We start from the raw sequence: 19,365 nt of genomic DNA on the forward strand, positions 1-19,365 counted from the left end.
AACCATTCTCCTATTTATGGACATTTAGGTTGCTTCCAATATTTTGTAATTGCAAACTATTTTTAACGAATAATCTTGTACATATGTATTTTTTTATTGGGGGTGCTTTCTTAGTGCAGATTCCTAAAAGTGGGATTCCTGGGACAAATAGTTCTTTTTGTCCCTCCATTTGCTTGAAGAATTTCTGATGTGTATCAGAAAATAACAACTTTTCTTTGCATTTCTTTTCTCCTATGGTTTTGAGCAAAGCAAAAACAAATTTGTACAGGAATATAGATGAGGACATTTTCCAATGTGTCTATTGTTTCAAGTACACTCCTCCTAATATCTAACTTTTATCCCTTGAGCATTACATTTTTACTATCATCTCTGCTCTTTCTTTAATCATTTCTTTTCATATAACTCATTACATATGTTCTGAAATGTTCTCAATTCATAGCTTGAGCTAAGATGTGATGTCCTCATTTGAAGTATAATTATCTGCATTTTGCCTTTTTGTTGTCAGATTTAAAAATACAACAAAAACAAGGTTACATTAGTGAGAAGAAGTCAAATGAAGACAGTTATTTTTTCTCCTTAATTGCAACTGGTACCATGTGTACTGAAATAAAATTGGTATAAGGAAAATAAAACAGCTATGAACAGTCCTCAAGTAGCATGGAAAATCAGACTTGCTCAAGTGGTGAAGAACCCTATGTTTGGTTTCAAATGGAACTTTGAATTGTTAAATTTAAATTATTAAACACAAACTATCAAGTTGGAATCAGTGGCCTGAAAGAATCAGTCTTGAGTGTCCCAGAGGCCTTTCTTACTTTCTGCCTTCTACAATTGTCTGCCCCTCTGCAGTAGTAGTGAACACAGTCTTCTTTTTATCTGGTTTGTGGTTATTTTTGTAGCTCTACAAATCTTTGTGGGAGACTAACGTTCCTCTGAATTATATCTTAAAAATCAAATTTCCACTGGGGCATTTGCATCAAACTGCTCTTCTTGCTGGCTCTTTAGTGCCAGATTTCCTTCCAAAATGACAGGTTGTGTGATCTGTGCTTCTACTGCCCTTTATTTCACAAAGTAGTCTTTGATGTATTCTGTGTATCTGGGGGTAAGAGCATAGAGGCAATGAGAAGCAAATGCCTTTATCTGCAGATAACAGCTTCCCTTATCTGCATGTTAAAATGGACAAGTGGTACTTTGCCCACTTGTGTGTCAGTTGCCTGCAAGTGAAGCATTCTGTATCTTTCAGATGACTGTTTCTTTACTTCCTTAATGCTGCTAATGGTCAGTTGAGAGAAGAGAAAAATACTCCCAAACCTGAGATTCTATTTGGAAAGCAGTATTGAGATCCTAATTACTTTGTTTTATTTTCCATACAACACTAATAGACTTAGGCAGTAAAATCAATGGCATTGTCACTTCTAGACTGCTTTATATGTGGAACTGTTGATATTCTGAAAGTTTACTTACTTTTTAGTATCTAATATATAACCTTAAACTGAAGTGCTTTTTAAAATCTAAGTAATTATCATCTATTGGACGTAGGTCTATATTGAGGCTGATAAATTTCTTGGGGGAGCTTGTGATCTACACCCTTGCTACCCGAAGTCTGTGCAACATCAGCATCATCTGGGTGCTAGTTAGAAATGCAGAATCCTCAGGTCTCACCTCAGACCTTCTGAACCAGAAGTTACATTATTCACAAGTTCCCAGGGGATTCACGGGCACACTAAAGTTTGAGAAGCACTACCACAGAAGATGGGACATTTGTTTAGGTGTTTAGGAATCAGGCCATCTAGAATTCATTCCTGGTCCTTTTCATTCTTTTTTTCTGAAATAAGAACTTGCTGCTCAATTTTTCAAAGCTTTGGTCTTCTTATATTTAAAACCTGATTTAAAACTGAGCTTTTTCCAGGCTCATGGAAGATGAGCAAAGGGGTCATCTTGATATGAAGTCTGAGAGACACTTTTGAACTCATTCTGGAAAAGAACATAACTAAAAGTTTGGCATTGTTACTGACTTTCTCTGTCCACCTACGAAAGTGCTTTTTGAGGCCTCAAGGTAGGACATGATCTCTTGGAAATATAGTCAATTCTCATAATTTGTGGATTCTATATTTGCAAATTTGCTGACTTGCTAGAATCTATTACTATTTGTAACCCCCAAATCGGTACTTCTGGTGCTTTTGCTGTCACTCACAGACATGCACAGAGAAGTGAAAAAATTTGAGTCACCTGACATGCACATTCCCTGTTAAAGTCAAACAAGGCAATGCTCTACTTTCTTATTTCAGCTCTCATACTATAAACAAGTATTTTTTTTTGTAATCTATTTAGTGCTGTGTTTTTCCTGATTTTTGTGCTTTATGTTGTTGATTTTGGTGTTTAAGGTGGTCTTTAACTATAGTGCTGAAGGGCTGTTCAGTGTTCCTAAGCACAAGAAGCCTGCGATGTGCCTTACAGAGAAAATTTGTGTATTAGATGAGCTTCCTTTGGGTATGAGTTAGAGCAGTGTTGGCTGCGAGTTAATGATAATGAACCAAAAATATATGTTAAGTACAGTGTCTTTAAACAAACACATATAAAACAAGGTTATGTATTGATTAGGTAACAAAAATGTTGTGACCAGAGGCTTGTAGGAACTTACTCCTGTATTTCCCCTAGGAGCAATGGTTCAGTATTTGTTAATTCAGTCTTTGTGGTGACTTCATAAAACATAAGTGCTGTGAATATTGAGAATGAACTATATGTTTAAAACACAATTAGACTAAGATTTCAACTGGGTGTCACATTTTCTCTTCTGTGGGTGATAACAAGATTAGCTTGTTATAAGAAATTTTGGGGTTGTATTCTGTGAGTATAATTTCAAATAATAATAACTGGTAATTTATGAAAACATACTTCAGTATTTGGAAGGTTTCTTGGGATGGAAGCGATATTCCAGAGAGGCTTTTCTCTTCCTATGGGCAACTTTTTATTCTTTTAGGCATGGCACTTGAAACAATTGTACTGCAGTTACTTTTAGACCACCAATGTGTATGTTAAGCTCATTTTTTGTTGAGTCTGTGTCTTCTTTTTGGTCAACTTTGCTGCATAAATATCACAGAAATCTGTGTCCTCCTCTCCTGTATCCATGATCCATGCAGCTGCTTCAGTCCAGGTCCACATCACGTATTGCTTGGATCATAGACTAGTATTCTAACTGTTCTTACCCATAGCCCACTCTCTAGTGCCACCCATTTTGTAGTATAGTAAATCTGATCCTATCCCTCCTCTCTGTGAAATCTCTATGTGGCTCCCTGGGATAAAGTTGCTTTGGGACAAAGTTCAAGATGCTCTAAGTTTTAACTCTTGATTTTCTTACCACCGTGCTTGGAGACCTCTGATCACTTGATAACTCTCCCACCTCTGTGCCTTTGCATAATGTCCCTCTGTTTAGTATACCCTTTTTTTCTTCTTCTTCTACCAGGAAGTTGATTCCTGGGCTAAGACTCTGCAATTACCTCTTGTATTATTGTAGATTTTTAAAATTATTATTTCCCCCCTCCATTAGGCAGTGAGAACTTTGAGGAAAAGGAATGGTTTTGTTCAGCTTGGTGTCACTAATGCCTTATATCTTTTATAGGAGTTTCTGGCCATGAGATCACTGGAAATGTTGAATAAATTAGAATTTGGGGGTGAGTCTAATTTGACTACTGTTATAACAAACTGACTTTGGATTGGCAGCCCTAATCTGCACCAGTTCTAATATCACTAATCTTTAAGAAAACCCAGTATAGAACCCATAATGAGCATTCAATTTTGGAAAATATGAAAAAAGGAAAGTGAAGAAATTAGTTATAAAGTACAATAAACACAGTAGCAACTTGTTATATATGGTCAATTGTTTTAAAACAAGTGATGCTTCATATAACATTTGTCTGCTTAAGAAGTAACAAAGGTAAAATAAATTAATGCAATGAAGTATTCATACTCTAAATTTTACTTTCTGCTTTCCCTGATTCATACAATGAGTAGTATACAGCAGTAGAAATGAATGAATTATTGCAATACACAACACTGCGGATGAATCTTATTAAGTTAAAGTAAGTCACCCAGGATTGCATGACAGGAATATATCAAAGATCAACACAACACATGGTTCTTAATAGTGGCTATCCTGGGATGAGGGAGGCAGGGGAAGGAAATGGAGATCACTACATAGGGAGATGTAAGTTATTATCCATGTTCTAGTCTCTTTTGGGTAGTGGGTTCATGTGTGTATGTGCATATTAATATAATAAACACAAGAATGCCATGATGAGTCCTCATGAATCAAGGATTTTGATTAATAGGATTTATCTAATTCTCTTCACCCAAGTTCCACACTTATTTAAAAAAAAATCTTATTTGGAAATTTTAGGGGAGCCTCCACCCCTTTATCCTCTCTTGAATGTGAATTAAGCACATATGTAAGAATTGTACATATTTTGTATGGGAAAGAAGGGGAACAAAATGACCAAATATAAAATGTAATATTAATGGTGAATTCAAAGACAATAGGCATTATGAAAATGAGAAAATAATGGGAAAATCACACAAATAGCCAGCCTTTTTTGAGTCAATCAAGTACTGGGGATGTGGAGATGAATTGCAATCAGGTTTAATGGAGTCCCCCATTTTGCAGTGCTTGTATTAGCTTGCCCTACATTTTCTTGGCAGCAGGAAGCAAGCAAAGGGCATTATTCAAAGAAAAGCAACTGTGCGAGACTTGTGAGAAAAATATGCATCCTGTTTCTTCCATGTTGCATATCATAGAAAGAAAGCTTTGCCTTCCAATTTTGTGAGAAATACCCTTCATTTGAAAATGATTTTGTTTTACATTTCTCCCAATAGCACTCCCATGCTCAATTTCTTGTCAATCCTCTCTTTTCTGCTAGAATCCTTGAAATCTCTTTCTAGTAGCAGTTGGTGCAAGACAATGTGCATTTATTTTGGTGGCAGCATTTTCTAGTTTTCCTGCCAGAATGTCTGCCTTCACAATGAACTAGTTTTAAGGCACTTTAGATTTCAGCTGATTCCCAGTATCAGATGTGAACAGACAAAATTCTATCTGAGAAGAAAATCTCTTTTTAGGCAGAAACTTTAGTTACCCTCTTGGCAGAGTCCAGAGAGAGGAATCAAGGGTTGCTTGGATTCTCAAGTCATTTTAAAAACCATATCATGAGTATCTTCCTGTCTCCTTGGTGATATGTGACCGTTTTCCTCCTGGAAGAGCTGTTCCATATATTTTTAGTAACAGCAGGAGAGGATAGATATTTGGGTGAGCTGTGTACCCAGCTGGAAAGCCTAAACATACAAAGGGTCTTAAGTTTCCCTTGATCTTGTTTTTCTCCCCAACCCCCTACATTCTTTTTTTGTAAAGCACAGAAATGGAAGGCCCACTTGTGAAAAGCATCTCACTTCGGGCTTACTGACTGCCATTCACTTCTTTGGCCCTTTGTTCTGTTTCTTCTATCAGCAAGGGAAGCACGTAAGCTCTGCCAGCTGTTTGTCACTTCCAGAGATATGCTGTTTCTGTCTCATCTGTCCAGCCCAGCTAAGAGTGGAATCTTACAATTTGACAACCTATAAATAGGAGGGATGAGAGGGTATAATTTAGCAATGTTTTTTGTTTTCCAAGCCTCATTTCTCTTGCCTACATAGCTAGCAAGTGTCATAGACTTATTGCTTGATTGAATTTGGGCAGTTTCTAACAAAAAGTGATGTTCTTTTCTTCCAATAAGCAGGAAGGCTGCTTTATATTCTTTCTAATAGCAATGGGCATTACATTAGCACCTCTCTTTCAAAATCACATACCCAGGGCTTTGAATGAACTGTGGCTTTAGAACAAGATTTTTTGAGAAGGTGGGAGTGGTGTTTTCATGAAATAGGCTAATTTGTCTGTTTAAGCCAAACTGTGACCTCATGAACACCATCATCCAAGGAATCAGCCAGCATTATGTACACATTAGATTGAATTCTATAAATTTCCCTTCATATAGGGAAGTCCCTTGAGTAGACGTTGGTCTGCCCTTCCCAAGTCTCTTTTGCAGAAGGTATCCCTTCATGAATACCTCAGCACAGGGATCAATACTACAAGGTAGAGTATAGAAGACCATGATATTCTGAAACAGGCGTGGAAACTGGATGTGAAAATATGCAGTTGTTAATTAGTAAGCAGGGATACTTCGCTTTCTGGAAGTACATATCATGTAGGGTATATCATACAGATAGGATGATATTATTTTGAGACTTAGATAATCACATAAAACTGCTCAAACAAGAGTCAAGGGAGTAATTTCTAAGAACACAATGGTAGAGACTGTGGTCCCTGCCATGGGGTAAGTATAGTTGTGGGAGAAGACCCAGAATAGATACTCTACAGATGGATCTTAAAGGCTGTTTTACTAAAAGAATTTCCATTTAAAACCTTGTAAAATTTACATGAAATAAATATAAATGCAATCAGTAATTATGGAAATTGGCATAAACCATCTACCATTTAATTTATCCCCATTGACACAAATATTTATCCTCCATGTTTTTCCTCTAACCCAGCATAAAAATGTTTTATGTTTTTGTGTGTGTTTTGAAAGATATACTGGCCACATAGCACTTCATTGAACTGAATTATAAGATACATCTACTGGTAAGGGAATGATTAGCTATTGTTGTATAAAAATCCATCCCCAAACTTCGCAGCTGAAGACAATAATTTATTTGTTCACAATTAGGCAAGTTGGTAGTATGGGCTTGACTCAGCTGGGATGGCCCATCTCTGTTCCACATGGTGTCATCTAGCCCTCCTCATGCATTTGGACCTTAGCTGGGGTGGCACACTACATTCTCTCCCATCTTCCAGGAGGCCAGCCTAAGCTTTTCACATCATAGCAGATGAGTTCTCAGGAATAATGAACAAGCAGTCTTGATGCTTCTGTCTACATAACATTGGCCCATGTCTCACTGACCAAAGCAAGTCACATCACCAAGCCCAGTGTCATTGTGGGAGGGAAGACTACACAAGGGCTTAGATATGGGGAAGTGTGACTTACTGGGGTTGTTAATGTAGTCATCTCCCACAGTGGACCTTTTAGTTGCTAAATGCTTTTAATATAATGAAAGCAACTCTACTAGTTGCTGTGATGAGGTATGAGAGCTGAGCATGAAGGAAAACCAAGTTTCTGCAGTAGTATGATGTATGTGCTTTCTGAATGAGAAATCATAGGGCAGTATGACAAAGGGATTGTTATGATAAGTGTTTTAAGTATAATACCTAATCACTTTTTTTATTCCTGGAAAAAGAATGCATCAAAGGCAATGAATAAATATAAATAGACTAGTCTCCATAAAAATGAACTCTCATATGGCAAACAGCATGAATAAACAAGGAAAACACAAGCTGGGAAAATTATTGATAATAGACAAAGGCATAGTATTCCTAACAATTAACAAGAAAGACAAATATGCCAATAGAAAAATCAACAAAGGTCATGAATGGGATATTTACAAAGAAGAAATATAAATATGCACATGGCTGCCAATAAACATCCAAGAAAACATTCAATTTAACCAGTAGTCAAAGAAAGGCAAACAAAAGTTTCTGACAAATCTCAATTCTTGATATATTTTCTTTGCACTTACATAATATAAAAGCAGGGTAAGAGAATGGAGAGGTGGGCGGGAGGAGTTGCAATTTTAGAGAAAACGGGCAGGGAAGGTCTCTCAAAGGTGGTAACATTGAAGCAAGGCTTCAATGCAGTGAGAGCACAGGCCATGTGCTCCAGAAGTGTTCCAGGCTGAGGGAAGAGTAATGACAAGGTCCTTAGGTGGGACTAAGCAGTGAGAAAGCCAGCTAGTGTGTGACTGCAACCCCTTGAGCTGAGTATTCGGGAATAAGTGGATATTCTGTACTACCGAACTATTCAGACAGACACATTCTGTGTGATAAGCAAAAAAGTGGATGTTACAACCCACAAAATGGGAAAAACTTTTGCAAATCATATATCTGAAAAGGGGCTTGTATCAACAATATATGAAGAATTCTTACAAGTCAATATTTAAAAGGCAAATAATTAAAAAATGGGCAAAGAATCTAAATAGACATTTCTCTAAAGCAAGTATACAAAAGGTCAATAAACACATGAAAAACGCATGATATTAACCATTAGGAAAATGCAAATCAAAACTACAATGAAATACCACTTAATGCTCACTAGAATGTCTATAATAAAAAAGAAGTGTTGGCAAGGATGTAGAAAAGTTGGAACCCTAATACATCGCTGGTGGGAATGTAAAATGCTGCAGACACTTTGGGAAACAGTCTGACATTTCCTTAAGTGGTTAAACATAGAGTTACCATGTGATCCAGTAATTTCACTCCTAAGTATATACCCAATAGAGTTGAAAACATATTTCCTTACAAACACTTGTGTATAAATGGGCATTTAGGCACATTATTCATAATAGCTCAGAAGTGGAAACAACCCAAATGTCCATCAACTGATAAATGGATAAATAAAATGTGATATATCCATACAATGGAATATTATTTGGAAATTAAAAGGGATGAAGTACTGATTCATGCTATATCATGGATGAGCCAGTCACAAAAGATCACATATTATATGATTCCATTTGTATAAAATGATCCAGAATAAGCAAATCTGTAGAGCCAGAAAGTAAATTAGTATTTGCCTAGGACTGGAGGATATGGAGTGATTTGGGAGCAACAGTTAAGGTATGTAGGGTTTCTTTAATGTTACATAAAAATAGTGTCTTATGAATTTAATATTTTATTTATTTTTTTGTTGTTTTTCTTTTGTATTTTTATTTATTTATTTATTTATTTTTTATTTTATTATTATTATACTTTAAGTTTTAGGGTACATGTGCACAATTTGCGGGTTAGTTACATATGTATACCTGTGCCATGCTGGTGTGCTGCACCCATTAACTCGTCATTTAGCATTAGGTATATCTCCTAATGCTATCCCTCCCCCCTCCCCCCACCCCACAACAGTCCCCAGAGTGTGATGTTCCCCTTCCTGTGTCCATGTGTTCTCATTGTTCAATTCCCACCTATGAGTGAGAATATGCGGTGTTTGGTTTTTTGTTCTTGCGATAGTTTACTAAGAATGATGATTTCCAATTTCATCCATGTCCCTACAAAGGACATGAACTCATCATTTTTTATGGCTGCATAGTATTCCATGGTGTATATGTGCCACATTTTCTTAATCCAGTCTATCATTGTTGGACATTTGGGTTGGTTCCAAGTCTTTGCTATTGTGAATAGTGCTGCAATAAACATACGTGTGCATGTGTCTTTATAGCAGCATGATATATAGTCCTTTGGGTATATACCCAGTAATGGGATGGCTGGGTCAAATGGTATTTCTAGTTCTAGATCCCTGAGGAATCGCCACACTGACTTCCACAAGGGTTGAACTAGTTTACAGTCCCACCAACAGTGTAAAAGTGTTCCTATTTCTCCACATCCTCTCTAGCACCTGTTTCCTGACTTTTTAATGATTGCCATTCTAACTGGTGTGAGATGGTATCTCATTGTGGTTTTGATTTGCATTTCTCTGATGGCCAGTGATGGTGAGCATTTTTTCATGTGTTTTTTGGCTGCGTAAATGGATACTGGCAAACCGAATCCAGCAGCACATCAAAAAGCTTATCCACCATGATCAAGTGGGCTTCATCCCTGGGATGCAAGGCTGGTTCAATATACACAAATCAATAAATGTAATCCAGCATATAAACAGAACCAAAGACAAAAACCACATGATTATCTCAATAGATGCAGAAAAGGCCTTTGACAAAATTCAACAACCCTTCATGCTAAAAATTCTCAATAAATTAGGTATTGATGGGACGTATCTCAAAATAATAAGAGCTATCTATGACAAACCCGCAGCCAATATCATACTGAATGGGCAAAAACTGGATGCATTCCCTTTGAAAACTGGCACAAGACAAGGATGCCCTCTCTCACCACTCCTATTCAACATAGTGTTGGAAGTTCTGGCCGGGGCAATTAGGCAGGAGAAGGAAATAAAGGGTATTCAATTAGGAAAAGAGGAAGTCAAATTGTCCCTGTTTGCAGACGACATGATTGTATATCTAGAAAACCCCATTGTCTCAGCCCAAAATCTCCTTAAGCTGATAAGCAACTTCAGCAAAGTCTCAGGATACAAAATCAATGTGCAAAAATCACAAGCATTCTTATACACCGATAACAGACAAACAGAGAGCCAAATCATGAGTGAACTCCCATTCACAATTGCTTCAAAGAGAATAAAATACCTAGGAATCCAACTTACAAGGGATGTGAAGGACCTCTTCAAGGAGAACTACAAACCACTGCTCAAGGAAGTAAAAGAGGATACAAACAAATGGAAGAACATTATATGCTCATGTGTAGGAAGAATCAATATCGTGAAAATGGCCATACTGCCCAAGGTAATTTATAGATTCAATGCCATCCCCATCAAGCTACCAATGACTTTCTTCACAGAATTGGAAAAAACTACTTTAAAGTTCATATGGAACCAAAAAAGAGCCCGCATCGCCAAGTCAATCCTAAGCCAAAAGAACAAAGCTGGAGGCATCACACTACCTGACTTCAAACTATACTACAAGGCTACAGTAACCAAAACAGCATGGTACTAGTACCAAAACAGAGATATAGATCAATGGAACAGAACAGAGCCCTCAGAAATAACGCCGCATATCTACAACTATCTGATCTTTGACAAACCTGACAAAAACAAGCAATGTGGAAAGGATTCCCTATTTAATAAATGGTGCTGGGAAAACTGGCTAGCCATATGTAGAAAGCTGAAACTGGATCCCTTCCTTACACCTTATACAAAAATTAATTCAAGATGGATTAAAGACTTAAACGTTAGACCTAAAACCATAAAAACCCTAGAAGAAAACCTAGGCATTACCATTCAGGACATAGGCATGGGCAAGGACTTCATGTCTAAAACACCAAAAGCAATGGCAACAAAAGCCAAAATTGACAAAAGGGATCTAATTAAACTAAAGAGCTTCTGCACAGCAAAAGAAACTACCATCAGAGTGAACAGGCAACCTACAAAATGGGAGAAAATTTTCACAACCTACTCATCTGACAAAGGGCTAATATCCAGAATCTACAATGAACTCCAACAAATTTACAAGAAAAAAACAAACAACCCCATCAAAAAGTGGGCAAAGGACATGAACAGACACTTCTTAAATGAATTTAATATTTTAAAAGGGAGTAGAAATTAGACTAATTCCTTTGAAAAATATTAAATTCTTAAGACATTAATATATTTTATGTAACATTAAGTGGAGACTAGAGTTACAAAGAGGCAGGACCTAGCCCAACTTGGGGGGTGAAAGAGTTGGAAAATGTAAAAGATAATAAAAACAAGACATCAGTTGACTTTGGTCTTGGTGCCCAGACGAGCCAGAGCTACAGCCTTCTTTAAGGTATTAGGTCAGAGTTTTCTAGGATAGTAGCTGATGTAGTAAGTGTGATCTTTTTGTCTTGGGATCCTGAATCTTAAGTCCATAATATTGGTGATTTACAACCTGGAAGTGATGAATGCAACACCAGACACCCACCCCCAACATTTCTGCATCACCAGAAGCTACTGCTGTGATCCCCATGCCTAATGGGGCCCCCTTTGTGAAGTTACACCTAAATTGGAGCTTGAACTTTTTTCCAGAGGAAGTATTTTTAAATGATTAGATTTTTTATAATGCCAATTTCATTGTAAATCTATTTTGATTGGACATTTAAGACCACTTATAACATTGTTTAATGAGGAAATGTGTCCAGCTTTCAAACAAAGGATTTAGAAATGATCTTTTGGAAATGTAAATTATTTTGTGAGCTAGAACTCCCTACATTTCAGAGCTCCTCTCTGAGTCTTGGTGTGGATGTGGAGAAGGACAGCCTGAGAAAATAAGATAAGGGACTCTAGTTCTTCTTTTACATTAATATATAGTCAAGTTCCTATTCTGGCATTTGCTGCTCTGATTTTCTGGGAACTACTTTAGAAGTCTGCGCTTAGCTTGTTAGATATGATTTGCATGCAGTCGACACCCCAGAACTCGCATGTATGATGAATTTCATTAATCTAGTGATTTGTAAAAAGAGTTTGAATTAAATGCTCCTTCATGCTCCAGAGACTGCACTGGGCTGCTCTGTAATGGTTGCCACAGTTTCTCCAAGGGTAGTGATGTAAAAACGAAAAGACAACTAGAAATGAAAGATAATCCAGAGACCTGCAGGTACAGCATTGCAGATCTTGAAACAGAAAAATAGTGTAGCTTTATTTAGATGTCTCACTGCTTTTTTTTCCTCTCTCTCGTTTTGTGAAGATAAATGATACTCTCACTGTGCTTCAGCTTCTTACTCTATAATAGTAGTTTTCACTTAGGTGAGCCTCAAGCACCTGGAGAGCTAGTAAACATGCAGGTACCCGGACCCCACACGCAGAGCTGCTGATTGAGTGGACTTGTGGTGGGACTGGAGAATCTGCAATTCTAACAAGCACCCAAGCAGTACTGCTGCTGGTAGACCAGTGAGCACACTTTTCGTAGCATTCATCTATAATATTTAGAAAGCCACTTTCAACTCTAATTTTCTATAATTCTGTGATTTCATATTCTGACATCTGAGGCATCTGTGTGAGACCAAAGGTGAGCACTGACGATTGAACTTGCCCAACCATTTTTAGGACTCACCTTCTTCCTGATTCTGCAGAAACCAAAACATGGCTATGTTTAGTGTCTGCAGAAAGACTGGTCTCGGGTCTAGTTTTAGCCTTGAGGAAAAAAAAAAAAAAAAGGTGGGAAAGAGAAGAAACAATTCTGAGTTAGAATTAAGATTACCAAATGAGTATTGAATGGCTTCAAAGCTGTTTCCCGGGCACCCCCAAACCCTAGATTCCCTTGAATCTTTCCTGATTCAGCCTGGTCCCTGGTAGGGAAGGACCCCAGCCTTTAGGAAATATGGGAGAACTGGAGAAATAAAGCAAAGGGGAGGGCGGTGGCAGTGTGGTAAGAAATAAGTCGAAGTAAATTGGGGACACTTAAGCTTTCAGTTCCTTTAAACATCTGTTTCCTTTGGGCAATTCACACTTCCAGAAGAGTTCTTGAGATGCCGTTTAAAGATAAAAAAAAGTAATGTTACAGCTCTTTTAGAATTTGTCTAGCAGGCTTTCCGGTTTTTACCAGAAAGCCCCCCCACCAAAAAATATATATATATATTTTTAAAGAAAAATGGTGAGGTAACTGAACTGTTAGCATGTGCCAAAGTTAGGGTCTTGAGAACCTAAAGTTTTAAAACACTTGACTGCTGACTCCAATCCAATATGGGTAGCCCTCACTTCAGAAGACAGTATTTGGTTTTAAAATGTTCAGTTCCACTGCCTTTGTTTTCTGGCCATTTCTTAGTGGATAAGAACTATGTGGTAACTTGGTGCCATTACTGAACTTATTTTAGACAACTCTTGAGAAATATGGGAAAGTTGAAAAGTGGTCTGTTCCCCTTCTTTATTTTATATACATAGTATTATTTAATATATCTTTATTACATTTTATTTTTAAAATTGTAGCTATTTTATTCATTTTATTGTGCCAGCCATACATAATTGAATAATTAAAAATTACTGCCTGAAAGAAAATGTCCCACAATCCCATTAATCAAAGATAACTTCCTTTAACATTTTGCTGTGCATCATTCCATACATTTTTTCAGTGATTAATATCCTTATTTCCCACAAAAATGGAGTCCTGCTATCCAAATAACTTAACCACCTTTTCCTGATAACATTATCGCAGATATTTTCCCATTTCACTCAATATTTTGCTATGCTACAGGACCCCATTGTATGAATATACCACCCTCTAGGTAATCAGTGCTCTTTTTTGCTATTAAGCAATGTTATGATGACCTTTCTTGCACGTGCATTTTTCACATGAGTGTCCATTACTTCCTAAGGATAAATCCGTGTTAGAGGATAAACACTGTAAATGCTTTTAATATGCAGTACCAAATTGCCCTGTAGAAATGAGCCTGTTTACACACTCTCTCAGCAGTGTCTGATGAGTAATCTGCATGTTTCAAAATGAGCTTTCATTATTTTTAAGAAGCGATTTTGTGGCATTAGAGAATTTAAGTGTTGGTTTTTGAATGAAAGCATTGGCAAGCTGAATGAATTTGAAGTGGTGTTGGGCAATATTATTTGGAGCTGTCTCTCTTCACACAACCTTTCTGCAGCATTTTTGCACTGCCTTGATAATAAATCAGTTCTATTATTAGTGGAAGACAGAGAGACTCTGAAATGTTTACCATCAGCCTTCCTCTGTGTTTAGGAGCTACGTGTATGAAACTATTTTTCCTCAAATACTATTTTATATTTATCTGTGTAGTTGAAAAGCTTGTGCAGCCAAGTGTCTGTTCTCACATTTTAGGACTGCATTCAGTTTTGATCTCCTGTTTTAAATATTTTTTGAATCAATAAATTTCTGTGCATGGTGCTTGGCATGCAGCATATATACATATACATATGTATATGTGTATATACATGTGTGTGTGTATATATATACATATATATATGTATATAATTAAAGTAAGAAAAATCCAAGGACCTCTATCTCCTACAAGGCTACAGAGAACTCTTTGAAAAAATACTCCTTTATCTTCTAGGTGAGACAGTTACATACTCATTTGAAAATAAAAAACTTGGAATTCTAAAGCCGTTCTTGCCAATTCCTGCAAATATAGTGCTCAGATTTCACACCAGGTTATTAACAATGACATGGATGTCTGAAATGCTGGAGAGAGGGTTGGACCCAGCAATAAAGAAATGTCGCTAGGTTATGTTAAATTTTCCTCTTGGACCTCAAAAAATGCCCCTTTGGCCAGAGCTGGATAAAGTTCCATTATAAAAATAAGAGGTAGTACAAAAAATCTGAGAGATTTTTGTACTAAAAATGTACGATTGGCATTCCAAAGAAAGTCGTATCTGATTCTGTATTATTTGGGGTTCTTGACAGAAACTGGCTTGACAGTTTATCCAGCAAACATTACTAAGACATGTTCTGTGTCATATCCATTGTTTTAAGCATTCTATAAATATCAACTAATTAAATACCATTTTGTGATCTATGGGTATTCATATTAACCCATTTCACAGATAAGGAAACTGAGGCACAGAGCAGTTATATAAGTTGTCCAAGATCACTCAGCCAGTGAGTGGCAAAGCCAGCAGTCAAACCCAGGTAGCCTAACTCAAGATTCTGTGCTCTTAATTACTTAGCTATGCTGCATGGCATATGTAAACATACACACTGTTAAAGCAGTGATGGTTTTTAGGAAATGTTAGCTTATATTTTCGACAGGAGGAAACTGGTCACTATTATTCTCTAATAGACCATATTTCTTACCTTTGACTGCGCATTAGAATCACCTGGGGAGCTTTCCAAACTCAACCCAGACCACATCCCTGACCTAGTAGCTCATTCTTGGAAGGTGAGACCCAAGCACCAGTAGTTTTTAAAGCTCCCCAGGTGATTCCAGTGTGCAGCCATGGTTGAGAAGCTCTAATCTGGGAGAAGAGTCATTATTGATGGCCAATATTTTATCAGAAACATCTGATGAAAAAGAGTACTGTGGCCATGTCTTGATACACTTCACTGAGTTTTCTCAGAGGTGAGCCTATTCACAATGGAGCAATCTTCTTCAAGTGGAGGCAGTTTAAGTCTGAGAAAAATTATTCTTTCTGAAGATGCTGTTTCCAGTGATATTTTAGAAAAGTCAAGGTATAAATCCATTGGTGTTAATGTAACGTAGCCAGCTGTTTCACTTTATTAGTCAGGTGAGTGGAATATAATGCTCTTACTCAAATCAGTGCCCAGTTGCTTTCGATTGTCTGCCTCTGAATTTTGAGTTGAATTCCAAAAGAGGTAAGAGAAAATCGGTGGGTAGGGAAGGCAGGCCGCATCTCAGCCAGATGGCTAAACAGCATGAGACTTGGGCTGCATCTTCAGTCCTCTGTGAATGCTGTAGAATGACTTCTTTCTTTCTTTGACTACACACGTAAGGAAAATATTCAGCACATGAGAATTTGGAAAGAGTTTTTCTGTTGGAGCAGCTTAGTGAAATCGAATAGCAAGATGCCTTTCAAGAAAAGTGACTTTTAGTCATGGTGGTATGCGCATAGCATACATAGTGTTTAAGGAAATTGACCAAACATGGGTCAGTAGTTAACAATAAACATTTCTGCTGCTTCATCTGAATCATGCTGGGAAAGTGAACCTGTTGTCTGGGGTATTTATTTTGGAATTGCCAGTTTGTTCAAACAAGACTAAGTCACGTTGGGGAAATGGTGAGAACAATCTCTTTTGGCTAGACACTTCGGTTTCAGAAGCCTGTCAGCTTGCAGGAATCCCCACTAGTTGAGGTGCATTAGGGCATTTCTCATGGCTGTATATGAAAGCTAATTACAGAGGGTCTTGTTTCTGTTTGTTCCTGCCATAAAGTGTCTTCTAGAATTGCTGTTCTGTGACTGCTGTCTTGGGCCATATTAAAGGATCGTGATGGTGGGAACAGACTGTCCACTGCTGTTATGGGGAACAACAGAGACAAATGGTATAGATTCTTGTACTCTTTGTAACATAATCTGTGACCCAAATCATCTTATAAATTGCAAAATGTATTGTAAATACAAAAGAATGTTTAGTAGATATAGGTACAATATAAAGAATAATTTTAAAATTCTAACGGGCCCACACCCCCAGTTTAAGAAATGGGAAAATAGCAGCTCCTTAAAGACCTTTCCTCTGTTCCCTTTCCCAGTTGCATAACCTCCAGAGATAACCACTACCCTGACTTGTCACTCATTTTCTTCCTTATCTTTTTAGCATCCAGAGTTATGTATGTATCCCTAAACAATATATTGTATGGTTTTGAAAACCAAGCAGCAAGCACAAACCTAGCTGTGCAAGGAAAGAGAGACATTGGTTTTGTTTGATGAAAGCCCACCAAGTCTCTGGGAGAAATCTGGCTTCTGCTTTCAGAGCTTATTGTGGGGAAGTTGGTGGGTAAAGCCTTGAGTGAATCTGAGGAAAAATGGGTCTCCTGATAGGCAGGACATTTGACAACACTTAGTGTGGAACTGGTACTGAGCGCCCAGCAGGAATGTGGTGGGGGCACAGGCTGCTCTGCGTTTCCTACTCTTCAGCTCTTTGATGCCTGCCTCCAGTTCTCAGAAGCCTGCCTTGGAGTGAAATGAGAGTCCTTTGCTGGTTCAGGCAGTGGAGAAGAACAGGAATCTCCTCAGCCCACGCCAGGAAAAGCAAAACAGAAGAAGCCTCATCCAGCTCACCCCATCATTGTTTTCAGGTTTAACGGCAGCAGGCATCTTGTGATGAAAGTTCTCAGTGTGCCCCTCTCTTGAGTCACATTGCACCAATCTGGACTGGTTGTCTTCTTTTAGTACACAGCTGTCATCCGGAGCTTCCCTTGGCCTCTCTCCTGAGTCAGAGCTTCTTTTCTTTTTATATCTTCTGTTTTGCTTGCTGGTTTTAGTGGAGCACTTCCAGTAACTTTGTGAGAAAGGGTACAAGGGAGGTAAGTTTTTCGAGGCCTTGCATACCTGAAAATGTCTATTCTACTATCATACGTGGTGGGAGTTTGGGAGTAGAATTCAAAGCTCTAAAGGAAAATTAATACGTTGATCTGTTGTCTTCTGTTTCTACTATTGCTGTAGAGAAGTATGAAGCCATTCTGATTCCTGACAGGATACTTAGGACCTGATTTCTTTTTCTCTCTGCAAGTTTATAAAGTCTTTTTGTCCCCAAGGATCTGAAATGTCACACTAATGGGCCATGACATGGGTTTGTTTTCATCCACTATGCTGGGCATTCTATGACATACTATGTGCCATTTCATTCTGACACCTCAATTCTTCAGTTTTGGGAAATTATTTTTGAAACATTTATTCTCCATTTTTCTTTTCATTCTGCAACTAACACTCAGGAGCTGGAATCTCCATAACAGTTATCTGATTTTCTGTTTTCTCCTATTTTTCGTCTCTTCGTATTTGCTCTAATTTTGGAGTAATATCTTCTAACACTTCTCTTATTTTTGATTTCTCATAATAATTTTCAATTCCAAAAGTGTTTGTTTCGGTTCTTTAGTTTCCTGGGTTAAAAAAATCATTTTCTTATTTTATGGATGTAGTATCTTATGTCTCCAAGGATATCATTGGTATATATTTGCTTAATTTTTCTCCTAGGTGTATAGTTTCTGTTCCCAGTGCTCTTTTGTTTGCTTATTTTGATCTGTCTTCCTTGGTAGAGGCTTTTCTCAGATGTCTGGTAATCCTTGGTTTCTTGGGAACTAGAAAGCTGCTCTGAAGCTAAGCAGGTTGGTGGAGCTTGTTGAATTTTTTTTCACTATAGAGTGATCTGGGTTGGGCATTTGTTGGGAAATACCTATGACAATATATCTTTAGATCTTTCACCTTGGGTTATTAGATGCCCTAGAGAAGCCTTCAAGTCTCCTGCAGGAAGGGTAGGTCTAGTGCTTAGTCTGGGAGCTTCTTGGGGAAAGAGGACTTGAGGGCAGTCTCTCTGCATTCAGGCTTCAGTGTGTATTTGGTCACTTAATGACCCTATTTTCATTAGAATACTCATGACCTGACTATGCCTCCCAGGATAGGTACCCTATGTTTTACCCTCTTTAGGAAATAATCCTTTGGATATTTTCCTGGCTGGGGAAAGTGCAGTCCCTCTGTGGAATGGAAAGGGGAGCTAGACATAACAGCTTCTCAGATGCCTTCCTTTCCAGCCTCTGCACGTTTGAGACCCCCTTATCCCCCAGTTTCAGAGGAGCCCTGTGCCCATTTTCAGCTTTGGTCACTGCTGGTTTGAGGTTTTTTTTTTTTCTTTTTTTTTTTCATCTTTTTCCCTTGCCTGCTGAGTTGGTTACCACTCATCTGTCTGCTTTGGAGCTTCCAAAATGTTGTTCCTATTGTCCCATCTCCTGTTCTCCTGAGTTTGTCTTTTAAAAAACAATTCCTTTACGTGTTTTTTATGGGGTTTCAAGAGAGTGAAATTAGATGCATGTATTTCCACCGACTTAACCTGAAGGGTAGAACTGTTGTTTCTTTTTTACATTATTGAATCCAGTACATTTTTGACTATCCAAAGCCCAAGGCTTCTGACCATTTATGGAACACCTTTGTGCCAGGTACTGTTGTTGAGTTCTTTTCATGTGTAGAGATGCAAGTAAGAATGGATATTATCCTTAGTTTACAAAAGACAAATTGAAACTCA

The 19,365-nt window shown here is 37.7% G+C and overlaps 1 protein-coding gene and 1 pseudogene across 1 annotated transcript in view; both read left to right on the top strand.

The window, feature by feature from the left end:
* The window catches only part of TSPAN7 (tetraspanin 7), a 127,377-nt gene that overhangs the window by 33,469 nt on the left and 74,543 nt on the right, over window positions 1-19,365 (top strand). The gene's annotated exons all lie outside the window — the stretch shown is intronic.
* RNU7-7P (RNA, U7 small nuclear 7 pseudogene) lies at window positions 13,208-13,265 on the top strand (annotated as a pseudogene).

Source organism: Homo sapiens, chromosome X (genome assembly GCF_000001405.40).
Source record: "Homo sapiens chromosome X, GRCh38.p14 Primary Assembly".
In the NCBI taxonomy this organism is placed as follows: domain Eukaryota; kingdom Metazoa; phylum Chordata; class Mammalia; order Primates; family Hominidae; genus Homo; species Homo sapiens.